Source organism: Homo sapiens, chromosome 16 (assembly GCF_000001405.40).
Source record: "Homo sapiens chromosome 16, GRCh38.p14 Primary Assembly".
NCBI lineage: Eukaryota > Metazoa > Chordata > Mammalia > Primates > Hominidae > Homo > Homo sapiens.
The window spans coordinates 84,642,359-84,667,741 of record NC_000016.10 but is presented as its reverse complement, the minus strand read 5'-3'; the positions used below and the strand labels follow the sequence as shown (position 1 = coordinate 84,667,741).

Genomic DNA, 25,383 nt, shown 5'->3' with positions numbered 1-25,383 from the left:
ATGAAAGCAGAATTGAAATGTCCCAGCCTCCCCACAACACCAAAAGGAAGTCTGGTTAATTTCCAAATTATATTTAGGATCAACAGGCAAGGGGTTCTTTTTCATACGGGCAGAGAAATTAGGACCAGACATCATTACAATAACCACACAAGACTAGGAATGTAATTATAAAATAAACCATACCCTAGCAAGCAAATTATTTTAATGTGTTTCAAGAATTGAATACTCTGTATGGAATTAAAAACAAAGAGAAAAAAGCAACGTGCAGAAAATTAATTAAAAAGAGTTAAGACACAGAAACTTCGAAATGTCATAAAATTACAAATACAAAAGCAACAAATTAAAAAACATACACGATTGCAGATTTCAGTAACATCAGTAGCCAGAACATACCCAATGAATCACTTAATCATCAAATATCTCGCTGATTTTGAAAGGGGGCTAGTGGTTGATGATTTAACCTCAATCAATCCAAAGGACATGACTCTTTCCTTACATTACAAGCAATCTGTAAAGATGGCTTTAAGTACCTTTGAAAAGGTGGAGTGTCCTTTCTCAAAGGAAACAGACAAGGAAGGGGTTATCCGCTCTGCCCCCCCACTACCGAAATGTGTACATTCATTCAACTCTGGTAACTAAGGCAACCAAAGGACAATTTCTTTTCTTTTTTTTTTTTTTTTTTGAGACAGTCTTACTCGGTCACCCAGGCTGGAGTGCAGTGGCGCAACCTCGGCTCACTGCAACCTCTGCCTCCTGGGTTCAAGCGATTCTCCTGCCTCAGCCTCCGGAAGAGCTGAGATTACAGGCGACCACGACTGCCTAATTTTTGTATTTTAGTAGAGACGGGGTTTCACCATGTTGGTCAGGGTGGTCTCAAACTCTTGACCTCAGGTGATCCGTCCCCCTTGGCCTCCCAGAGTGCTGGGAGTACAGGCGTGAGCCACTGCGCCCGGCCCCAAAGGACAATTTCTTGAGACCCCCACACACCTTCAGAACCACACATTCTGTTCATGTTAAAAACAAGAAATTAACAACCTCTAAAGCTAAGGACAATGATTCTGTAAAGTGCAAGAATGGTTCATTGTTTCCGCTTTTGTGGATTTCATGTTAAGAATACTTTAAAAGAAAGGGTGGGCGGGAGTAAACCAGGACCCCAGTCATATATTTGATCAAGAAATGACCCGTATGGCAAAGGTGAGACGTGGACCAGCCCTCAGGTGTCTCCAACTCTGTGCACACCACTGAGGTAGGAGCTCTAGAAGAAACGCAGACCCTCTCAGGGGGGTTAAGGTTTCCTCTTGGCAAATGAGCTGGGGGCCTGAGACAGTCATACCCACGGGCTGCATGCAACTTTGCATGCAACTTCACGAAATTCTAGAGCTGTATCACATCAGCGATGGAGAAGGGCAAGATCCAAGACAAAGCCACATGAGGCGAGGTCCTGGTGCTGCCATTTGTTGTCCAGCACAAATCAAGGGGCCGGAGGAAAGGGATGAGGTGGAAAACCCCGGCAGGCATTCTACAAAACAGTTATTAGCAAATTGTATCAAAAAGTATCAAAACATTTCAAAAAACTCTAAAAACTGCCAGGCTTGGCAGATGCGCAGGACAGGGTCTCCAAGTGCCCGTGGCGCTGCCCTATACTCCAGGCATTTATCCTAGAGGCCAGGATGCCACCCCCTCCCCTCCCCTCCTGGGCACTCAGAATCCACGGAGACACCAGGAGGTCTAAACCTCATCTGCAGCTGCCCCTCCAGGTTTGGGACCAGTGGACGGGGTTCCAACCACGGGCTCTGACAGCCACAAGGCCCATGAGATGCTGCTGCACCATGGAGGACCAGGGTGAAGGATGAAGGTCAGTGACTCTACAGGGGGTGGTGGGGGGTGTGGCAGGGGTCCCCTCACTTCCCACATTGCTGCAAGTCACTGAACGATCACTTGGCTTAGGGGCCGAGGTACACTGAACCACAGGTGAACACAACTGAGCTCACAAAGTAGGCCCCTGGACCTCAGAGGATGGACCCCACTTCCCCTCAGCATCTGGATGCCCACCTCAAAGGTGAACACCCCTTAGGGTGAGTTTCTGGGTCTCCATGAAGTCACCTTATCATGAGTGAGGGCACTCAATATAAATACACACGTGTGGTCCTGCTCAGAGCCAGGTCTGAAGTCCCACTTGATAGCCTCAATAAAATGGCAGAACAATAAAAATACCAATTGCGTGCTAACCACAGTTGATAAAATAATCTCTGTGCATTTAAAACAGCAGGAAGTTTGCTATAAGTAACAAGGGTTCATCAGCTTTCTACTCCCTCCCTTCTATTATTATAATACATCTATGTCTTAAGCAAACAGCTTTCCAACTTGGGTGAGGACCAAACCCCAAACTTACAACTAATATGAAGTTACAACTCTAATTCTTTAGAAATGAGAGAAGTCCAAACCTCAATAGAAGCCTGCCATGCTTATTTTGAAATGTTAAAAAAAAAAAAAGATCCAGGTGTCTTCAAAATTCAAGCAGAATAGCTTGAAACACTGAAAGTTTAACATGATGACATGTGTGGCTGTTTCCCTCTCAAAATGGCAGCCTGCAAGCACCTGTGCCTTCATCACTCTAGTTTAAAACCCCACATTCGTGACTGTGCGGTTCAAATGGCCACTGCATAAGCACAGCCCAAACTCTGCCCATCTGAGTTAAAAAACATTTTATTCTTTTGAGACAGGGTCTCACTCCGTCACCCAGGTTAGAGTGCAGTGGTGTGGTCATAGCTCACTGCAGCCTCAACCTCCCAGGCTCAGGTGATTCTCCCACCTCAGCCTCCTAAGCAGCTGGGACTACTGCATGCCCCACCATCCCTGGCTAATCTTTTGTAATTTTTTTGTAGAGATGGGGTTTTGCCATGTTGCCCAGGCATGGTCTCTTCCATTTTCAGTTCCATTTTCATGCACAGTAGGGTGAATTTTCAACTTAAAAAGACAAGTAACAAAAACCTGGCCCGGGCACCACCACTGGGTGCCCTTGTGCCCATCCACTGACCCCAACAAGCTCAAAAACCTTTCTTGTCACAGTGTAGCCACCATCAAATATTAGAAGTTGACCCACAAGATGAAACTTGTTTATCCTCCCTTTAAAAGGGTGGTCCCAACCTTAGTAATATTAGGGTCAAAGCCATGTCAATTACAAACCACCTTCATAGTATCAGGAGAGACACCACAAAATATGAAGCGCAGGACGTCGTATGTAACTCATGAGGCACAAGAAAATCAGAATAGAGGCCAGAAGCTCACACATTTCCAGGGACAAGTCCCAGAAGCAAAACATAAAAGAGCTGGCTTAGGCTGAAAACCAATGGCTCTCCTCTCTCCAAGGTCAAAGCTATCCCACTCCCCAAATCACTCACAGAGTCTTTCTATGTGCTCTCCCCAACTTGCCCCGAGATTCAGGCCAAACAACTGCCCGTTTGTTCATGACCCAGGCTGAGATGGGGAGAACAGCCCACGTACACCCTACCCTGCCTTCTGAGGGGTCTACAAGCAATAAAACCTTTCCCGAATAGGAAGGGGGTAAGCTATCCCAAAGTTGGCAGAAGTTCTGCAAAACATGTTTTGTGGGGGTCTGGGACTAGGTATGAGACAAACGACTTTTAGGCTCAAAGAAGTTTGGAAATGCTGGGTTGAGACTTCTCGGAACCTTTCATACACCGGAATGCTGCAGAGCTCCAAGCAGAGTTTCCAGCCTTTTGGTCTGTTTGTTTGTATGCCTCGCAGAACCTCTCAACAGTTTGTAAGCCTCCAGGGACTTCACATGCAAATAACTAGCTAGCTGAACATGCAGACTGCCCTCCTCACTAACCACAGAGGGCAGTAAGTTGGCTATTGAAGCTTTCAGTCCCCAAAATGCTCTCATCTCTTCTGGATGGCTACATAAACAGACCAGTGAGAACCACAGTAAACCCTGAAGGGAAGGGAAAGGAGGGGCAGCAAAGAAGCAGAAGAAATGGAAATTAAAGTTAACTAAGATTTTTTTCCTAGTCTAATATCAATCTTAACACATTGATCCTCATCCACTCGAGCAGCTGAGAGCCCTCTTAAAGGGCAAGTGACATCGAGACCTGCTCTCGGAACTGTCTGCAGGAAGACTGGTGTTAGACTAGGATTGAAGATGAAGCACATCTTGAAGTTTACTGATCTCTGCCATCGGATGCTGGGTGAGGTACAGCTCATTCATGCCTTCCTTGGCTCATGCTTAAAACCCATCACACTCCTATCCTCCCATAGTTCTGCACGTTTCTCATCCACTCGGGCAGCTAAGAGCCCTCTTAAAGGGCAAGCGACCCTGACACCTGCTTTAGGAACTGTTTGCAGGAGTCAGTGCAGGCCAGCTCCACATCCTGAAGGGGATGCCATCCGGGTACGAACAGCTCAGAGGCTGAATGGCCCTATCACCCGGGAGGAGCCTGGAGGGTATTCCATCTAATCCTGTGGCTAAGCGGGGTGGATGAGGGAACACACGGACTTGTTCGAGAATTTGCCCAGCAGCACGAAACTACTTAGAAGCAGAAAACTGGGGCAGGACCTGGCGTGGGAGTTAGGGAGCCCTCCACTGCCTTCTCAGGGATCCACATGTGCTCCTCTGTGCAGGAACTTTCAACAGCGCCTCAAGATAGAGTCACAGAGAACGATGGCAAATTCCATAGCACTCACTTTTTCTTTCCTGAGAAATAAACAGATTTGGGAGCTCAGTACATCAGTAATATAAAAGACAGTGGGTTCAGAAAAAAAAAAAAGGAAAAAAATGCACAAATTACAAAAAAATATGTATAAAGAGCTTCATACCTTTTTTCGTTTTTGGTTACCTGTAACGTTTTAGAATTCAAGAAGGTTTCCAATGAGGAAAGACGGAATTATTCAGAAACAGCGTTCACCTGATACGGAGAACAGCTCCCCAGCGGGAAGTCATCATGTCTCATCTGACAGTCTAGCGAGCTGCGTGGCCCCTGGTCACTCACTCACTCACCCTCATGGGTGGTCTCTGTGCACTCATTTATAAAACAAACACACTGGACCTTGCCAGTGATTCCCAGATGTGACTAATACCCAGAATTCCAAGAACTAGTTAAAATACAGCTTCTGGGCACCACCTCCTCCCCGTTCCTGGTGGTTTTGGATTCCATAATTCTGAGCGGGGCTCACGCATCTGTATTCTTAAAAGTTCAGCCAGGTTTGGGGAGGCTTGGACTAGGTGGCCTAAGAGAACCCTTTGAGGCCCAAGCTTCACTACAGAAATTTCTGTGTTACCCACGTGCCAGCTACTCTCAGGGGGACAGTCAGCAAGGACCCATGAGGAATCATAACACGGGGCAAAGACCTGTGAAGATACAAGGGGTTGCTCACTGCCTGGGCCCAGGGTTAGTTATTCAAGCAAGATATGTAAAGTTACAGATAGTATTTAATTGGTTACTGTGATATCATAGAAATACCAAGAATCATAAAAGTAAAAAAAGCTGCTAAGTTGTACATAATGTTTCCGGAATACTAAGAAGTTGCTGCTGGTCTACAGAGCCCTGGGAGGTGACGGTGAGGATGGTCCCAAGAGGCGCAGCTAGGGTCACTGGCCCCGGTCCTGGTGCCTCTTGCCTTTGCCTTTCTTCTTCTTGTCCTCTGGCCGTGGCTCCAGGGCGCAGACACAGGCGGACCCGCCAGCGATGGCCTTGGGCAGGTCGACGCCCCTGCTCCACTTGTCGGCCTCGCGGTCGTACACCTGCACGGTCTTGGAGAAGGCAGTGTTCTCCCAGCTGTAGCCGCCCAGGATGTAGATGCGGCCCTCCCACACTGCCACGCCCGACTCGCTGTTGGCGTGCAGCAGCGGCGCCACGCGGGTCCACTGGTTGCACTGCGGGCTGTAGGCCTCCACGCCCAGCACGTCGAAGCGCTCCATGGACTCGATGTTGTCATCGCTGCCCCCGATGGAGTAGATGCTGTCACCCAGGCTGCACATGCTGTGCCAGCCGCGCGCCGTGGTCATGGGCCGCCGCTCCTCCCACACGTCTGTCCGGTGGTCGTAGCATAGCAGGTTCTTGCGGTAGGGGCCAATTTGGTAGTCGTGGCCCCCCGAGATGTACACGAAGTCTTTGTAGATGGTGCCCGCGTGGCCGTACGTGAACCTGCAGGGTCGACGGGCAGAGACAGAGGGAGAGCTCAGGGCTGTGCCAGGCTTACCCCCTCCGAGCCGGGGAACAGCCTGCCGTCTTAGAGGGCCATGAGGATTTAAGAATATAGGGAGTGGGCACCCCATGAACACTCTATAGACAGTAGCCGTCATTAGCAAAGAAATGGCAGGGCAGGGCGGGGAAGTGGACAGCTTTGCAGTCAGGCCGCCTGGGCCAGAACCCAGCTTCACTCTCTCTGAGTCTCCCTTGCCCCATCTGGGAAATGGGAATAATCACAGGACCATCACCCTTTTCACAATGGCTGGAAACGACTAGAACAATGAGCTAGCAGGCACACATGCACCCGATGAATCACACATCAAAGAGGAAATACGACATACAGTCCAATTCTAACTGTGCTGGCACTCGGGAAAAGTTTTGCCTAAAACCATAGAGACAGCAAAATCAGTGGCTGCCAGGACTGTGGGGAGAGGGGAGGGAGGGATGGACAGCACGCACACAGTGGGCTTTAGGGCAGTGAAATGATTCTGCGTGATGCTGTAATGGTGGATTCATGTTGCTTTGTGTTCCTCAAAACCCACACAACTGTGCCAGGAAGTGGGAACCCTGATGTAAACCAGGGCCTTTAGTGAATAAGAAAGGATCAATATGGCCAGGTGCAGTGGCTCATGCCTGTAATCCCAGCACTTTGTGAGGGTGAGGTGGGTGGATCTCTTGAGGCTAGGAGTTCAAGACCAGCCTGGCTAACATGATGAAATCCTGTCTCTACCAAAAATACAAAACTTAGCTGGGTGTGGTGGCAGGCGCCTGCAGTCCCAGCTACTCAGAAGGCTGAGGCAGGAGAACTGCTTGAGTTCAGGAGGCAGAGATTGCAGTGAGCCGAGATCGCGCCACTGCACTCCAGCCTGGGTGACAGAGAGAGACTCTCTCTCAGAAAAACAAAAATACGAGCGCTTACCCCACACACTTCTAACTCTTACGGACACCTGGATGTATTCCACAGCAAAGACTGGTTCAGAAAGTGCACTGCTGGGTGCGGCAACAGGGAACTGGTGGAAAAAATGGTGTGCACCTTCTGCTAATCCCATGGAGATAATAAATGCTCGATACATGCACATCGGAACGCAGGGGAGACTGAGGAGGGTGAGGCGGCCACCCTGGGGCACTCCCTGCATGTGGATGCAGGTTTCACAAGCAGCACTGCATCTGCTCTGCACAACAGTGCTGTGGGGTGGGTATCATTATCGTCTACCTCTACAGATGAGGAACTAAAGGCCGAGCGGGGTGAAGACCCATGCCTGAGGCTTAGATCTAGCACATATACCCCCATCTCTTTGAACTCCTCCTGCCCAAGCTCAGGGAGATCCTCAGGTCAGGCCTCACCCTCTGAAGCTCAGCAACTGCACACACTCAGCCATGGAGGGATGTCCGTCATGGCGGCAGAGCTGACCCTTGCCCTAAGTCTGAAACCGGAGCCCGGACTGTGCACCGTCACGCCCTCCGCCCCTCATGGTGTACCCACTCTTCCTGACAAGCCGGAAGATTTCATTCCTGGAATTGGAGGCCAACATGCCCAGAAAGTGAGGCACGTGGACTGAACTATGTCCCTTAAAAACATCCCATTTGGAGAACCTTCCACCAAGCCCCAGATCACCTTGGCAAGCCGGCCACATAGGACCAGGAGTCAGTCTTGGGACTGTACGTCTCTACTGAAGAGAGCGCTCCGTTCTCATTCCGGCCGCCGATGGCCACCAGCATGTCTTCGATGGAGGCAAGGTAGAAATCCACACGGCGCTGGTTCATGGAGGCCACCTGTGGAGTTGAGATACCTGTACCTTCCCTTCCCCGAACCCGGGACAGCATCAACATCTGGCGCTGCGGTTCCCAAATGTGTCTGCGGAATGCACAACCCCGGAGAATGTTTGGGAAAGGGAACTGCACCTGAATAAAGAGGGCTTCTTCAGGTGGGAGCTCTGAGCCCCCGAGGTTTCACCAAGATGCTCTGAATCCCCAAAAGTGGGATGGAGACGCTCTGAGTCCCCAAAAGGGGGATGGAGATGCTCTGAACCCCCGAACTTCTCTGGTCATGTCGTTAGCCGCGTGGATGGGAACTCTGTGGTCACAGGGGTCAGAATTGCTGATCTAGTGGCTTTATGAAATAAAAATTCATCTTTCCTCTCCCCACATCAGATTTGTAAAGTTAGTGCTGCTCTGCCACTCCGTGTTAACAGAGCAGGACGTGGCATTCGACAGGAAATTAAACAGAAGAGGCTGGGCGCGGTGGCTCACGCCTGTAATCCTGGCACTTTGGGAAGCCAAGGTGGGTGGATTACCTGAGGTCACGGAGTTCGAGACCAGCCTGGCCAACATGGTGAAACCCCGTCTCTACTGAAAATACAAAAATTAGCCGGGCGTGGTGGCAGGCGCCTGTAATTCCAGCTACTCAGTAGGTTGAGGCGCCAGAATTGTTTGAACCTGGGAGGCAGAGGTTGCAATTAGCCGAGATCGTGCCACTGCACTCCAGCTTGGGTGACAGAACAACTCTGTCTCACACACACACACACAAAAAGTAGAAGAGCCAACTTTTTTTTTTCTTTTTTTAAACGAATCCAAGGCAAACACACTGCTGCCACTGCTGCCAGGCTTCGGGAGGAGGCTCCAAAGCCAGGGACCCTTTCCAGTGGTGACACTTCGACCTTGGAGGGCAGTCTCAGATTTCTGAGAGTAAAATCAAAAGGTCAGCTGGAGTCCATTCTGACTGGGTTTTGAGCTGAGAACAGCACTGAGCTGGGCGCGACGCTGAGGTGTGAGTATAGAGGCTGAGATGGACTGTCCCGGGGACCGAGTGGCTGGAGAGCGCTCCCAGCAGAAAGGAGACACCTTCCCTACGCCAGGGGCTTGCCAGTCAACATGAGCTACTGCACTCCCTGTCCCCCACGTATTCCCAGAAGGGGAATCCAAAATGTGGAGAGGACAAGAATCTGAAATTTCCTAGCTATGACTTAGCCAGGCTGGGATGAGACCTCAGGTCTGACATCAAGGCCCACGCTCTTCCCAGAATCAGGACACAATACATGCCCAAGGGCCAGGCGTGAGCACTAGTGGTCTCCTTAAACTATCTCCCAAAATGCTTCCAGAGGAGCCCCACAGAGACTCCAGGACCTGGGGATGTTGAACCATGGATCAAACATCTAGACCCATGCTACTGTCCAATAGGGTAGCCACGCCTCGTGCGGCCACATACACTTACACGTCAATCGGTTAAAGTGAAATAAAATTGAAAATTGACTTCTTCAGTCGCACTGGCCACATTTCAAGTGCTCAGTCGCCACATGCGGCTGTGGCTACCGTATCGGGAAGTACAGACAGACCCTTCCATCTGCACAGAAAGCCCCGCCAGGCAGTGCTGCTCTGAACGATGACGGACCCCTCGAAGGGGTGGGTCGGCTCTCCCTCTCCCTGTCCAGGATGTAGGCCCCGGGGTATTCTGCTCGTCACTTTATCATCACACCTCATTCAGAAGCAGGATAGTTGTCAAGGCCCCAGAGAGGTAAGGAAAGTCAAGGCTAGGTTAAGGAAACCGAGAGAGTCCTCAAGAGAAAAGAAATAATCTGGCTTTAATCTCACCTTGATCCACTGTTTACAGCGGGGGTCATACCTATAAAGAAGATTGGAGGCCGCATCCCCTCCGTTGTCCCGTGAGAAGCTGCCGCCGGCGATGAAGATGAAGCCCCCCAGCACCGCGACACAGTGGTGGCTCCGCCGGGCGGGCAGCGGCGTCTCTTTGACCCACTGCTCGCTCTTGGCGTCCAGGTAGCAGGTGTCGTCACTGAGCTCCAGACACCGCTCGGAGACCTCGCCGCCCACAAACAGCAGGCGCTCCTGGTTGGTGCGCAGCGCCGTGCGCTTGGTCTGCATGACGGGCTGGGCCGCCAGGTTGTTGTGGTAGCGCACGGCCTCCTCGATGAAGCCCTCGCAGTTGGCCTCCTTGGGCAGCAGCGAGCACACGGCCGGCTTGACGCGGTGCAGCAGGTCGTTCTTGGGGATGAGCGGGAAGTGGATGTTCTCCAGCACCTGGCGGGCGTGGGCCTCGCGCTCGGGCTGCTGCGTCAGCCACTGCAGGGCGGCCTGCAGGAGGTCGTGCTCACACTCCCGCTGCACCTCGCTGCTGCTCAGGTAGACACACAGCTTCTGCATGGAGACGTTCTGCAGGAAGTCGGGCGTAAAGGACAGCGTGCCGAAGTGGTTCAGGATGAAGCCATCGATGAAGGCATCAAGCCGCTTGAGGCTGTAGATGGAGGCCAGCTCCTGCAGGTACAGGTAGTTGTCCTCGCTCACCTCCTGCTCCAGGTACTCACAGCAGAAGTCTACCACCGTCCAGATCTGCAGCAGGTGAGCCGTCTCCAGGACGTAGTCAATGTTGCCGCCATCCAGCACCAGCTCCCCGCCGTACAGGAAGTCCACCACGGCCTTGAGCCCAATGTAGGAGGCGCCGATCAGCTCCACCTCCTTCTGGAAAGCTTCCCGCATGCCGATGGTGAACATGGAGTTGAAGTAGTCGCTGCACACGGCCAGCAGGTTGCGATGGGCTGGCACACGCTGCTCATCGGCCACCAGGACGACGTCGCAGAAGAGCCCGCGGAGACGCTGCTCGTTCAGCCGCTGCAGCACCGTGCTTGAGTGGTCGGCCCAGCGGTATACCTGGACAGAGAAGACACATTAGAAACGGCGCAGCAGCCTGCTCGGCCCTGGTCCAACCCAGTGGGTCCTGACCAGCATTTTCAACAAAATGAAACTGAAGAAAACAGGAAATAAAATGCTGCATCAGAGGGCACTGCAGGAAGTACAGGTGTTTCTGAGTATGCCTGTGTATCGTGGTTTTTTTTTTCCTTCTCTTATTAATATAACTTCTTTCTTTCTTTCTTTCTTTTTTTTTTTTTGACACAGAGCCTTGCTCTGTCGCCCAGGCTGGAGTGCAGTGGCACAACCTCAGCTCACTGCAACCTCTGCCTCCCGGGTTCAAGTGATTCTCCTGCCTCAGCCTCCTGAGTAGCTGGGACGACAGCCCGGCTACTGGAGTTTGAGAGCAGCCTGGCCAACATGGTGAAACCCTGTCTCTACTAAAAATACAAAATTTAGCCAGGCATGGTGGCGTGTGCCTGTAATCCTAGCTACTCAGGAGGCTGAGGCAGGAGAATTGCTTGAACCCAGGAGATGGAGGTTGCAGTGAGCCAAGAGCACACCACTACACTCCAGCCTGGGAGACAGAGCAAGAACTCCGTCTCAAAAAACAAAAAACAAACAAACAAAACAAAACAAACAAGAAAAAACAAAAAACAAACCAAAAAAACCCAAAACCAAACAACACAACAATTCAAGCCAGGCATGGTGGCTCATGCCTGTAATCTCAATGCTTTGTGAGACTGAGACGGGAGAATCACTTGAGGCCAGGAAGTTCGAGACCAACCTGGGCAACATAGCGAGATTCCTGTCTTAACAAAATATTTAAAAATTAGGTGGGCGTGGTGGCATTCGCCTGTAGTCCCAGCTGCTCAGGAGGCTGAGGCAGGAGGATCGCTCAAGCCCAGGAGCTTGAGGCTGCAGTGAGCCATGATTGTGCCACTGCACTCCAGCCTGGACGACAAAAAGAAACCCTGTCTCTAAATAAATAAATAAATGAATTCAACATAGGGAGAAACAGGTAACTGAAAACTATCACATAGATAGCTGGTCTATTCCAGGGTGACTGAGGTGAAGAACTGGCTGGGCACTAGCCTGAAGAGGGGAAATGTGGTTGGAGGAAGAAAACTGACCGAGGGCTATTAGGTATTAGCAGCTATGTGGTTCGACTTTTTTTTTTTTTTTTTTGAGACAGGGTCTCACTCTGTTGCCCAGGCTGGAGTGCAGTGGCACAATCTCGGCTCACTGCACCCTTGACCTCCTGGGCTCAAGTGATTCTCCCACCTCAGCCTCCTGAGTAGCTGGGACTACGGGTGTGTGCCACCATGCCTGGCTAATTTTAAAATTTTTTTGTAGAGACGAGGTCTCACTATGTCGCCCTTGACCTCCTGGGCTCAAGTGATTCTTCCGCCTTAGCCTCCTGAGTAACTGGGACTACAGGCACACGCTACCACGCCTGTCTGATTTTTATAATTTGCAGGGACAACGTCTCCCTAAACTGCCCAGGCTCTGAATTCTTAAAAGTTGCTTCTTAACATGTGTCCTACAGCAGTGGGTTTTATTTTTTTCTTCCCTTTCAAATCTTCTTTTTGTTGCCATACATGCGTTTGTCATTGAGACACTTTATTTCCCTGTGGTATTTCCACATCCAGTCAATTCCAACAGCAACTTCTCTGTCCATGCTACAGGAGCAGGCCACATTCTCACAGCCTGTGGAGGATGCCAGACAGATCCGACTTGGCATTTCCTTCTGAGTTCAGAGGACGGGCTCTCCCGCTCTTCCATTCCAGGCTGGCTTTTCAGTTCACAGGTCACACACGTGGAGATCTCTATTTATCCTGGTTACCCACAAAGAGAGCCAGGCTGGCCTACACCGGGCTTTTAAATTTTTTCTCATTTTTAGAAACAGGGTCTTGCTCTGTTTCCCAGGCTGGCATGCAACAGTAGATCAGAGATCACTGCGGCCTGAAACTCCTAGGCTCAGCCGGGCGTGGTGGCTCATGCCTGGAATCCCAGTACTTTGGGAGGCCGAGGTGGGCAGGTCACCTGAGGTCAGGAGTTCGAGACCAGCCTGACCAACATGGTGAAACCCCGTCTCTAGTAAAAATACAAAATTAGCTGGTTGTGGTGGCGGGCGCCTGTCATCCTAGCTACTCAGGAGGCTGACGCAGGAGAATCACTTGCACTCCGGAGGCGGAGGTTGCAGTGAGCCACTGCACTCCAGCCTGGGCAACACGAACAAAACGCCATCTCAAAAACAAAACAAAACAAAACAAAACAAAACAAAACAAAACAAAACAAAACAAAACAAAACTAGTCTCAAGCAATCCCTCCACTTCAGCTTCCTTGGCAGCTGGGACTACAGGTGTGTGCCACCATATCCAGCTATTTTTTACTTTTATTTTTTGTAGAAATGGGGTCTCACTACATTGCCCAGGCTGGTCTTCAGCTCCTGAGTTCAAACGATCCTCCTGCCTCAGCCTCCCAATGTGCTGGGATTACAGGTATAAGCCACCGTGCTAGGCCTCAGCTTCTAATTATGCAGGAATGGTCAGTGCTTCTACAGACATTGACTGGAGGCCCCTCTTGGGTGTGAGCTGAAGGAAGGAAATTAAAAAGTACTACAGTGGCGGTGATCAAGTCATAGTACAGGCTTAGCGGCCTGAGAGACGCATATGAGGGCATGAGGCGGCTATCTGCCACCCGGGGACCCTGGCTGTCTCCACGCTGGTGAGGGTGCTGGCCCTACCATGCTTAGACGGAGATACACACAACCCCAGACTGCAGTGTCAAAAGGGAAAGAGCCCAGGGGGCAGGACTGGGGAAAGCCCCAGTGAACGGCTGCCGAGGGGAGACACCAGCTCCAGTGAGCTGGGGCAGGGGGCAAGAGCAGTGTTGTTTCCAAAACTGGGTTTCTGCTCTAAGTGGGCTGGAGTGATGCTGTACCCGGGTACAATCAGCTGCAATCTGCTTCTGGTGTTTTAGCACAGCTGCATAGACAACTTTCCAAAAACACAGGCACACGAGTTCCCTTTTTTTTTTTTTTTTTTTGGATACAGAGCCTCCCTCTGTTGCCCAGGCTGGAGTGCAGTGGCTCGATCTCGGCTCACTGCAACCTCCGCCTCCCAGGTTCAGGCGATTCTCCTGCCTCAGCCTCCTGAGTAGCTGGGACTACCGGCATGTACCACCATGCCCAGCTAATTTTGTCTTTTTAGTAGAGACAGGGTTTTGCCATTTTGGCCAGGCTGGTCTTAAACTCCTGACCTCAGGTGCCACCACTCCCGGCATATATACATATATCAGTAGAGACGGGGTTTCACCATGTTGGCCTCGAACTCCTGACTTCAAGTGATCCATCCACCTCAGCCTCCCAAAGTTCTAGGATTCCAGGCGTGAGCCACTGCGCCTGGCCTATTTCCCAATTATAAAGGGACATTGGTAACAGAGTTTCCGCATTTCAGGTAACTTAGAAGCTCCAATCCACAGCATTCTCTGATGATATGAGTCTTGTTCATTTCTTTATTTCCTATTTCAGTGCCTTAATCAGATGCAAGGCCAAGTAGAGGGAGAAACTCAGGTTGTCGGGGGCTTACACCTGGGAGGAGGCGGCAGGTACCAGGTATTAGACGTGGAAAAAGAATTTAGCATCAAAAAGGAACAACACTTTTTTTTTTTGAGACAGGGTCTCGCTCTGTCACTTAGGTTGGAGTACAGTGGTGCGATCATAGCTCACTGCAACCTCTACCTCCTGGGCTCAAGTGAGCCTCCCACCTCGGCCTCCTGAGGAGCTGGGACTACAGGTGTATGCCACCAGGCTCGGCTAATTTTTGTATCTTTTGTAGAGATGAGGTTTAGCCGTGTTGTCCAAGCTGGTCTCAAACTCCGAGCTTACGAGATCCTCCCGCCTCGGCCTCCCAGGGTGCTGGGATTACAGGCGTGAGCCACTGTGCCTGGCTGAGCAACACATCTTAGGGCAGACAGGTGAACAGACACTGTGGCCACACAGTGGGAAGACACCAACATGCTGAGAAAGCAAAACCTACCACTACCAACTACATGCAGCAACACGGGTGAGGCTCAGAGGCACAATGTTGCACAAAAGAAACCACACACAAGAGTACCCGACCTCGGATCCCGTTTAGACAAAGTTCAAAAGCAGATCAAACCACAGCGGTGGGGTTGGGACAGCGACTATCTTGAGTGTAACAACTGGGAGGGTTTGGTAGTATTCTGTTTTTTACCCATCTGGGTGCTGGCAACATAGGTGTGTTTAATGTCTAGAAATTAATGGGTACACTTTTTAAAAATAAAAAGTTAGAAACAGGCCAGTCATGGTGGCTCGCGCCTGTAATCCCAGCACTTTGGGAGGCCAAGGCTGGCGGGTCACGAGGTCAAGAGATCAAGACCATCCTGGCCAACATGGTGAAACCCCGTCTCTACTAAAAATACAAAAATTAGCTGGGCATGGTGGCATGCACCTGTATTCCCAGCTCCTCAGGAGGCTGAGGTGGGAGGCTCACTTGAGCCCAGGAGGTAGAGGCTGCAGTGAGCTATGATCGCACCACTGTACTCCAACCTAAGTGACAGAGCAAGACCCTGTCTCGAAAAAAAAAAAAAGTTAGAAACATCATCCAGTGATACAGAAGCCTAGTCCTAAGAGATTCAGTTCAGACAGAAACAAACTCAGGGTCCTGGCATTAATGGACAAAGACTTCCAGTGCTGTCAAACTTAGAAAGCAGCAGTGTCTCCCAAGCTAAGCTCCCAAACAAAGCCCTTGTGAGCGAGCGGCGAGACCTCTCTGGGTTTTCACAATCGATAAAGCTGGGCTTGGCAGGAACCTTCTTGGGGAACTCACGTGAGAACAGGAGGTCATATCTCAAGAGAGCCAACCTCTCTTGAAAATGACAGCCAGTTTTTCTTTTAGAATCTGTAGAATCTCTTTCCCCCTTTTTCTCAACTCTATAGGCTGCTGCCAGCTCCCTTCATCTAAAGAAGTGTTTCTGTATCTTTTTTCATTATTGCCCCACAAGAAGGCTTTTAAGATTTTTTTCCCTAATAGCCTCCCCAGCAAAATCTTAACATCACAGATGCACTGTATGTCTGCTCATGTACTGTATGTATAATTGTGTCTTATGCATAAAAGGAGTAAAATTCCTTCCACCCTCCCGAGAACCAATTTTCTCCCACTTCAGGGCAATATCATACTCATTGAGAATCCATGATCTGAGGTAACCATAAGATTTAATCTCCAAAAGGGATACCTCTAAAGAACAGAGGGCATTACGAATATTTATAACGGGGAAACAGGTTACCAGGAACCTCATACCAATGGCTCCCCCACTCTTTACCAACAGCAGCTGTGGGGACAGGAGTTTGTGGAAAGTATAGCAGCCGGGTCTGGCTCTTGGATTTTAATGTGGCTGGTGGGAACAGGCTACATATTTCTAATTAGAACTCCCCCAGTAGCCTGGCTCTGGGGAACTTGCCCTCACTTGCTCTTAGGTCGCAGGGAATCATGACCAGGGAAGACGACTCCAGGCCCTTGGGGTCCGGGTACACGGTGTGTTGCCCTCACCCTAAGGTAGAAGGCTGGGTTCTCAATGGACCTGTCCTTGGAGTTTTTGAGCCCCCAAGCAGGCATGGGAATCCCAGTTTTCTTCCTGTCCCATCCACCTCCTTGGGTTAACGAATGAGTCAAGTTGTCACAAAAAGAAAGCTCCGGAATGTCACATGGAAAAATGAAGACATCTGGCCATAGCGTCTCTACCATCCCTCATACTTCCCACTGTCTGATTTTATGACAATTTCTGCTCCTTGCCCGTTTCCACCTTTACTTGTCATTAAGGAGACTGACAACACCAATGACAAAAAAATCAGTCTGTGATTAGAAATGAGTGAATCAGAAAAAGGATCACACTTCTTAGGCAATTTGCATAGGTGGTGAGTGAACATTCACAGACCTTTGATGATTCGCTGATCTTGTATGGCCGAGACACTCGCGTCTGCCTGCTTCCCTCCATCATTAAAGAGATTTCAGCCCTAGGAGAAGAACAGGATTTCTGAGCATGCAGTCATAACTCTAGGTCATTCATTAATTTCAGGCCCTGCTAGCAGATACCAAGGATGACAGTGAAAACAGTCACACGGAAGAAGGAGGGAGGGAGGACCGTGCACTACAAAGAACTCTTTTACACCGAGTTGAGAAATCATCGGGTTGTTAGAATTGGACAGAACATTTAACTCCCATTCCTTTATCATCTAAAATCTGATATCATGTCATTTGGTTCACTTCCTACAAATAATTACCTTTTGGCTACATCAAGGTTATAATGATAAGTTATCATTTCGGAGCCCAGACTACAGCCCTCGAACCAAGCTAAGTGACTTAAGTGTGCCATCTCATTTAACCCCCACAAAGATTATACTTGGCCAGGCTGATATCACTTATTTCATTTCACAGATGAGGATATTGATCTCATGGTCACAAAGCTAGTAAACGGCCGAGAATCACGCCTCGGTCTGTCCAGCTTCAAAACCTGGATCCATCACCATGACACGCTGCTGAATGAGGCCCGGGTTCGAGAGTATCACACTTTAAAAATATCATGATGCAGATGAGGATGTGGTACAGTGATGACTACCATGTACACAGTACATTCTAGACACACACTGTCCCCAAGTGCTTCTCTGCATCTTCACTTAGTCCCCACTGCAACCCCATGAGGCCAGCACTGTGACTGGAGGATGCTGAGAGCAGTGAGGTGAAATAAGCTGCCCGGCGTCACACAGCTGGGAACTGGCAGAATTGGGATTCCAGCTCAGGGAAGCGCCCATGCTCTTAACTCTTAGGCTACACTGCCTGGCTCTTGGGTGGGGGATCACTGCAGACAGAGTTAAGCTTTGGTGTGTGGGGGGCGGGGGAGGCAGGGGGAGGGGCAGGTGCTTCAAAGATGGAAGGGAACACAGAGAAGGGACTTTGCCAACTAATATTAGCACAAGTCACATACTGAGACGAAGGTTTTAAAGAGGATTTTTTTCCCCCGCTATTTGAGTTCATGAGAAGAGTTTGTTACCTATTGAACAAATAGTCTTCACTAATAAAGAACAATGTGACAAGAAGTCAGCACTGTTCTTAGATAACTGGGGACACAGGGAGGGCACTCCAGTGTTCCCATGGAAGGAATGAATTCGGGCACAGTCCGTCCCGTGCAACTCCCCTAGGGAGAGAAGGGGCAACTGGATTCCTCTCGACAAACTAGAAACTTTGTGACAATGACAAGCTGTTCCCACCCCGGCCCTCCCCTAGGATGCTGGAGAGCCCAGAGAGGGAAGAGAAGAAACCCAGCGTTGGTGCGGTGCCCACCGCGGACTCGACTTCATTCCACCTTCACGCTGAGAGGTGACACCGTCGTTCCCACAGTGAGACCTGGCGCTCGGGTGCCCCAGGGGGGGTTGCCCAAGGTCACAGAACAGCAAGCAGCAGGTGCCCTCTCTCTCCACCGCCCCAGGCAGCCTGCCCAGAATCAACCAGGCCTTCTAACGCTCAACGCTTTATTTTCTAGGCCAAGATACCTAGAGAGAGTTCGCGGGGCCGGAGGCTCCCTGCTGTCTCCTGCAAGTGCGTGGGGGTGGGGTCTGATTTCCACCCGTGTTGGACGTCAGCGGCCTCCGACGCTTTTTGGAAGCAGGTGAAGGGTCAAGGCCACCCCCAAGCACAGTGACAATCCCAGGTCACTGGAAAAGGTCTTCCAGTAAACATGGGACCGCAGGCCCCGTCCGGCCGGGGGTTTCCCAGAGCGCCTCCTCCCCAAGCTCCCTCCCGACCTCAGCGTTGGAGAAAGCGACGCTGCTGACACCGGCTCGCCGGCGGGGTCTCCGGGGACGCCGCTGTCGTTCGCTCGGACCCCGCAGCCCAGGCGGAACTCAGCGCAACGGCCGCCCAGCAGGCTCCAGCCGGCGGCGAGGAGGCGGAGTCGGGACGGCCCGGGGCGGGGGCCACTCACCTGCCACGCGCGGGGCGGTCCGCACAGGCCGCACCTGTGTCACCTGCGGGGGCGGCGGCCCCTCCCCCGGCCGCGGCGCCCCCACTCGCCCACCCGCCCGCCCCGGCACCAAGGGGCGCAGGGGGGTCGCGGCTCGCGGTGGCCGGGGACCCTCCCGATCTCCGCCAGCTCCCCGCCCCGGCCGGGCGCGGCTTCCTGGCGGTCCCGGGCTGGAGGGTGGGCGCGCGCGGAGGCCCACCTGGCAGGACGCGCTACGGACGCGGCGGGGACAGCCCCGGCGGCGGGGCCGGGCGGTCGGGGCGGCGGGGCCCGGGTTCAGGAGACCCCCGGCCAGCCCGCTGCGCAGCCATGGCTCCGCCAGGAAGTGCGAGGCCGAGGGCGGAGGCGGCGCGCGCGGCCAATGGCGGCGGCCGCGGGGAGGCGGGGCCGGGCGGCGCGGGGCGGGGCCTGCGGCTGAGGGCGGGACGCGGGGGCCGTGGGGTGAGCTCGCAGGGTGGACGCCCCCCTCGTCCGCGCCCCGGGGATCCCCGGTGTCCACCCCACCACGACGCCCGACTCCGTCCCTTCAAAGGCAGGCCCCAGCCCCGCCGCGCGAAATGCTCCCTGGTGCCACCCACCGTCACGGACGCAGGGCCACGGCGGGGACCAGACACGCAGGGTCCCGGGCCTCGAGGCACCGACGCGTGCGCTGGGAGCTCTTTGCTGGCCCAGAGTCGCCGGGACGGGCACCGCGCCTCTCGCCTCCTTCCGGGCTGAGCGGGAGCGTCCCTGCGGCCACCCTGCGGCGAGGCCTTTGCTGACCGCTCTGCTCGAAGTCACAGCCCCTCTCTCTGCACCCAACTTCCAACCCCATGCTTCACTTGAGCTCTTATCAGCGTCTAATATTCCAAATAATGTACTAGTTTATTCGGTTTATTGTCTCTCCTCCCTACCAGAAGCCCTCCAGGGCAGGGTTTACTGTTAGTTCTATTCCTGACTGGGTCGTCGCCAAGACTGGCACACAGTAGGTGCTCAGTAAATGTGTATGGAATGAATGAATGTAACCTTCATCGATCCATCTATCAATTGTCACACTTCGCTCATGCTACAGCGGGATGAACCTTGGAGATGTAATACTTAGTGAAAGAAGCCAGACACAAAAGACCACACACTGTATGATTCCGTGTATGTGAAATGTCCGGAACAAGCCAATCCATAGAGACAGAAAGTAGATGAGTGGTTGCCAGGGGCGGGGAGTTGCTGGAGTGGGAAATGGCTGCTGAAGGATCAGCGATTTCTTTTGTGTAGTGCTCACTACAGCCTCCACCTCCCAGGCTCAAGTGATCCTCCTGCCTCAGTCTTTCATGCAGCTGAGACCACAGGTGCCGGCTGCCACACCTGGCTATTTTTTTTTCTTTGATTTTTATAGAGACAGGGTTTCAGTTTGTTGTCCAAGCTGGTCTTGAACCCCTGGGCTCAAGCGATCCTCGTGCCTCGGTATCCCAAAGTGCTGGGATGACATGTGTGAGCCAGCACACCCAGCCCACTTACAGGATCTTTATTTTTTAATTATTTATTTATTTATTTTATTTATTTATTTATTTATTTTTTTTCTTTTTTTTTTTGAGACGGAGTCTCGCTCTGTCGCCCAGGCTGGAGTGCAGTGGCGGGATCTCGGCTCACTGCAAGCTCCGCCTCCCGGGTTCACGCCATTCTCCTGCCTCAGCCTCCCAAGTAGCTGGGACTACAGGCGTCCACCACCTCGCCCGGCTAATTTTTTGTATTTTTAGTAGAGACGGGGTTTCACCGTGTTAGCCGGGATGGTTATTTATTTTTTTGAGACAGAGTCTTTCTGTCACCCCGGCTAGAGTGCAACGGCTCAATCTCAACTCACTGAAATCTCCACTTCCTGGATTCAAGCGATTCTCCTGCCTCAGCCTCCTGAGTAGCTGGGATTACAGGCGCCCACCACCACGCCTGGCTAATTTTTGTATTTTTAGTAGAGATGGGGTTCACCATATTGGCCAGGATGGTCTCAAACTGCTGACCTCGGGTGATCTGCCTGCCTCAGGCTCCCAAAGTGCTGGGATTACAGGTGTGAGCCAAGGATCTTTAAATGATGTTCTCACTGACTGGATTGCTGTCCCCCATCTCTCTCTCTCTCTCTCCCCTTTTCTTTGGGGACTGTACACATTCACCCTGCCAAGCCTTACTTGCCTGTCTTTGACCCTTCCTGGACCTGTCCCTACCCCAGACAAAGCTAATCCTCCTGTTATTCTGTCTCCATACCGACATGTGGATGGATCTCTGTTCTGACATGAATTCATGCACTGCCTCTCATTCATCCAACAGACTTTTCAGGAACACCTGCTGTGTGGCCGGCACTGTAGTAGGTGCCAGGGATACAAAGAAGAAACTTTCAGGGCTCTTAGGAAGACAGGAAAACAAGTCAATCAGCAATGGTCCTAGCGTGGTGAGTACTGTGTTGGGGCAATACACGGAGCACCAAGAGTTGGACATATTCTTTTTTACAGCTAGAGTTAAAGATTCTCTTGATAAATAGATATAGGTAGATAAATAGATACATGCCCCTCTATATATGGGTATCTATCATATCTATTTATCTGTCTAACAAGAGATTTAGCTGTAGATATTTTAAGAGCCTATAACTCTTATATAGATAAATGGATACATGCACCTCTATATATGGGTATCTATGCTATCTATCTATCTATCTATCTATTTATCTAACAAGAGATTTCGCTGTAGAGCCTATAACTCAGCATGAACATCGGCCTTCCGGGTGTTGTGTTCATCATGAATGAGAAGACGTGCAACCTGGTGTATGGGGGCCGGAGTAAGGGCCTAAGACAAGCTCATCCACACATGACCTTGACATGAAAACGGTGTGGACTCGGCTAACTTGGCTTCACCCTGCGTTCCCCAACAGCACTTTGTGAACCACTCTCTCAGTCTTTTTCTTTCAGTAACGTTTTGTGTCCTCCCAAATTATAAAAGTAATGCATGCTTTACTCAGCTACTCTCAATACAGAAAAGTTCAAAACAAAAAACCAAACAGCCATGTGTAGTGGCTCATGCCGGTAATTCCAGCACTTTGGGAGGAAAAAGGATCACTTGAGCTCAGGAGTTCGAGACCATCCTGGGCAACATAGCAAGACTCTCGTCTGTACAAAAAAAAATTAAACATCAGCCAGTCATGGCTGCATGCATTTGTAGTCCCAGCTACTTGGGAGGCTAAGGTGGGAGGATTGCTTGAGCCCACGAGGTCGAGGTTGCAGTGAGCTGTGGTTGTGCCACTGTACTCCAGCCTGGGTAACAGAGCAAGACCTTGTCTCAAAAACAAAACAAAATAAAACAAACACTCATTTCTACATCATTCAAAAAAATTGGTTCATATTGTTCTCTCAACATTTTCCTCTTACACAATTTCTTTGCCATAATGATAATTCCAGTTTTCTAAGCACTAGGCAGTGCTGTAAGCCCTCTGCATGTATTAACTCATTTGATACTATCTCTGTACCCTGGGATGTGGATCTCCATCCTTACATGAATTCATGCACTCCCTCCTTCGTTCATTCAGCAGACTTTTCAGGAACACCTGCTGTAAGCCTGGCACTGTGGTAGGTGCCAGGGATATAAAGAAGAAAATTTCAGGGGTTTTAGGAAGACAGCCAAACAAGTCAATCAGCCATGACCCTATCATGGTGAGTTAATACCTTGATCCTTTGAGGAAGGTATCATTACTTTCCCTGTTTGCAGATGGGGAAGCTGAGTCCTGGAGAAGTTAAATCCCTTGCTCAAGGTCCCAGAACTCGTAAGGAGCAGAGCTGGGCTTTGAACCCAGGGAGTCTGCCTCCAGTGTCTGCAGCCCTAGCCTTGGCCACTGCCCAACAGTACCTCAGTGCACTGATGACAGTGATGTGTGCTCAGTGCAGACAGTTGGAAAACAGGCCCAGAAGAGGAAAACATAACCCACCTGAGGAGAACAGCTATTGGCATTTAAGGATAAACCAGCTCAATATTTTTCTCCTGCATATATTCCCTGCACGCCTATGCAAATGAGATCCTATGGTGCACACTCCTTGGTAGCTGACTTTTTCCCCATTTTGCAAATGTCATGAGTTTTTCACATGTCAGTAAGTCCTCGTTGATGACATGATGTTTAATGGCTGTGCCTGATCCTTCAGTATGGATTGTGCCCTTGACCTCCCCCCATTGTTGGGCATCCAGCTGGTGTCTCTATTATGAATCATGCCGTGGTGAACATCCTTGCTCACACATCCATATGCACATCTCTGACAGTGAAGGGGAATTGCTGGCTCCAAAGGTCTGCATATTTGTAAGACCCTAAACCATGCCTCTCCCCTGAAAGCCTGTCCTAATTGGTGCCCCCAACAGCAGCTCAACACTGTCACTTCTGAGATTCAGGCACCATCCGATGGAGCCAGCCAGCTATATGTTTTGCATGGCCCAGTGCAGGATGAAAATGTGGGCCACCTTTTGTTCCAAAAAAGCAGGAGAAAAGCTTGTTCCTTTCTTTTGCACACTCTCTCCCCAACATGGTGCCTTTTTTCCTTTTTTCTTCCTTTCTCTCTCCTTCCTTCTTTCCTTCCTTCCTTCTTTCCTTCCTTCCCTTCTTCCTTCCTTCCTTCTTTCCTCTTTCTTTTCCTTCCTTCCTTCGTTTCTTTCTTTCTTTCTTTCTCTCTCTCTCTCTCTCTTTCTTTCTTTCTTTCTTTCTTTCTTTCTTTCTTTCTTTCTTTCTTTCTTTCTTTCTTTCTTTCTTCCTTTCTTTCCTGGGTGGAACAATTGCCACTGTCACCAAAGACGACCACTCCAGGCTTAGGTTATCTCCATCCTCAATACCTCTGTGCAGAAACAAATGTCACAGAAGAGTACCCAGTGAAAGAGGCACACCATCTGGAAGCCCAGAATAGCAAAAACATGGGGCGGGGCCTGGGCAAGTTAGGCCTAGTTTGATCATAATTCATGCACAGGCCCTGTGCTAACTGCTCTGCTCCCTCCCCTGTCTAATCCTCACAGTAACCTATGGTCAATGCTATTGTTCTCCCCACTTTACAGATGAGGAAACTGAGGTTCTGAATGATTAGATGACTCACCCGATATCACACAGCTGGTAAGCACGTGAACCAGGATGAGAAACCCAGGCTATCTATGCCAGTGCCCAGTTAACCAGTTCACCAGAACACCAGAAGCCGCCCCCAGGGCTGCAAGCTGACCATGCCTGGGACACAGGAGGTTGCAGTGGTGAAGATCAACAGGCGGGGCGAGGAGCATCTCCGTCTCCCTCTGAAGACCATTTGGAAGAGGGTGTGAGAGCTGCCGCCAGGCTTTCCCAGAGAACAGCTGGGCCTGGAAGGGGCGGTCCAGGTCCCATAATAACTGCTACCTGCTGCTGCAGCAATTTTCCCTGCTGGGTGTTTCCAAGTCCGAGTCTCCTGGGGGAGGAGGCTGGGAGGAGGAGGAGGAGGAGGGCTGATTCTCTAAACTCCCCCTGCTTCTCACCAAAGGTCTGTCCTTGGCCCAGCTTCCCTTCCGAAGGTTGAGTAATCTCAAAAAATTGCAGCCTGGCATGAAAGAGCAGGCCTGCAGGCCAAGCCAGATCACGTCCGCACGCGGGATGCTTGGCCCACATGCTCCTGTACACTTGTAACTGTTAAACCAGAGGACAAGAAGCAACAGATGTCCTCAGATCACCAAACCAGCAAATGCGCAGAGCCATGGTGGGCGTCTGGCCCCAGTGCTTGGGTGGCCCCTAACATCAGATTAAGGAAAAAAGACCTCTCCTCAGCTGGAACGTCCCACTTCCTCCTCCCTCCTCCTCACCAGTATTTTTCTCTCTGCTTTGCCTGGATTGGAGTCCTGACCTGGCTACTCCCAGCTGTGTGAACTGGGCCAGCAACTTAGCTCCGTTGTGCCTCAGTTTCTCCATCTCTAAATGAAGCGCTTATTCCTCTCTCATGGAGCCGTCGTGAGAATTACGTGAATGAATACAGGCTGACTACTTTGAACAGTGCCTGGTACGTAAAGCCCTGTACACTGTAGCTTTTGCTGATGGTGGTAGACACTCTGCTATTTAGAGAGGTGTTCTTTCTCTCGAGGCTTTGATTCCTGCTAAAACAGAAATCATTTGGAAATGGACACTTTTTCTGCCATTTAGAGAGGTATTCTTTGTCTTGAGCCTTTGATTCCTGTTAAAATAGAAATGATTCAAAAATGAATACCTTTTCGTAGTCATTTATACCATAGCGTTCATCAGGTTCAGGCACTTTTTAGAGATCATGTTTGATTGGAATGAAAGGAAGACACCAGCCCCCCAGACAGAGTGATGGAGAAGGAGGGAGGGAAACAGGTAGGAGGCTTCCTGTGCATCACAGTTTTGCCTGAGCTGACTCTTGTCGTGGGGTCTGTTGGGTCAGAATTACTCTCAAACAGAATGGTCACTGAGGTCCCCAGCCAGGCTGGCATTGCCCACAACCTGTTCCTCCAAGGCACGCTGGACCTGATTGCA

At 50.8% G+C, this 25,383-nt stretch overlaps 1 protein-coding gene and 1 long non-coding RNA gene across 13 annotated transcripts, besides 5 other annotated features; one reads left to right on the top strand and one right to left on the bottom strand.

The window, feature by feature from the left end:
* Positions 1-55: 55 nt before the first annotated feature.
* Positions 56-19,231, bottom strand: KLHL36 (kelch like family member 36). 6 transcript variants are annotated; one of them, XM_047434649.1, is made up of 5 exons: positions 18,855-19,231; positions 16,812-16,890; positions 9,798-10,871; positions 7,825-7,982; positions 56-6,164 (listed from the first exon to the last, which is right to left on the bottom strand). In XM_047434649.1, the coding sequence occupies exons 2-5, from the start codon at positions 16,872-16,874 to the stop codon at positions 5,609-5,611; spliced, it is 1,851 nt and encodes a 616-aa protein (XP_047290605.1). In that variant the 5' UTR covers positions 16,875-16,890; positions 18,855-19,231; the 3' UTR covers positions 56-5,608. The 6 variants fall into 6 exon arrangements, with proteins under 6 accessions (XP_047290605.1, NP_079007.2, XP_047290604.1 ...); NM_024731.4 differs by having other exon boundaries at positions 19,093-19,231; XM_047434648.1 differs by lacking the exon at positions 18,855-19,231 and adding an exon at positions 18,676-18,802.
* Positions 3,778-3,827: a silencer, noted in NCBI's record as "silent region_7790". NCBI's record gives its function as "represses an Ori minimal core promoter by ATAC-STARR-seq in GM12878 lymphoblastoid cells {active_cell/tissue: GM12878}" and the evidence as "EXISTENCE:reporter gene assay evidence [ECO:0000049][PMID:35858748]".
* Positions 3,918-4,137: an enhancer, noted in NCBI's record as "active region_11252". NCBI's record gives its function as "activates an Ori minimal core promoter by ATAC-STARR-seq in GM12878 lymphoblastoid cells {active_cell/tissue: GM12878}" and the evidence as "EXISTENCE:reporter gene assay evidence [ECO:0000049][PMID:35858748]".
* On the top strand, positions 18,163-25,093 carry LOC105371376 (uncharacterized). 7 transcript variants are annotated; one of them, XR_007065153.1, is made up of 5 exons: positions 18,166-18,334; positions 18,414-18,539; positions 21,186-21,306; positions 22,438-22,558; positions 23,934-25,093. It is a non-coding gene; the product is annotated as an uncharacterized LOC105371376 (long non-coding RNA). The 7 variants fall into 7 exon arrangements; XR_007065152.1 differs by having other exon boundaries at positions 22,435-22,558; XR_007065150.1 differs by having other exon boundaries at positions 21,603-22,558.
* Positions 18,658-18,937: a silencer, noted in NCBI's record as "silent region_7789". NCBI's record gives its function as "represses an Ori minimal core promoter by ATAC-STARR-seq in GM12878 lymphoblastoid cells {active_cell/tissue: GM12878}" and the evidence as "EXISTENCE:reporter gene assay evidence [ECO:0000049][PMID:35858748]".
* Positions 19,148-19,337: a silencer, noted in NCBI's record as "silent region_7788". NCBI's record gives its function as "represses an Ori minimal core promoter by ATAC-STARR-seq in GM12878 lymphoblastoid cells {active_cell/tissue: GM12878}" and the evidence as "EXISTENCE:reporter gene assay evidence [ECO:0000049][PMID:35858748]".
* Positions 19,398-19,567: a silencer, noted in NCBI's record as "silent region_7787". NCBI's record gives its function as "represses an Ori minimal core promoter by ATAC-STARR-seq in GM12878 lymphoblastoid cells {active_cell/tissue: GM12878}" and the evidence as "EXISTENCE:reporter gene assay evidence [ECO:0000049][PMID:35858748]".
* Positions 25,094-25,383: the final 290 nt, after the last annotated feature.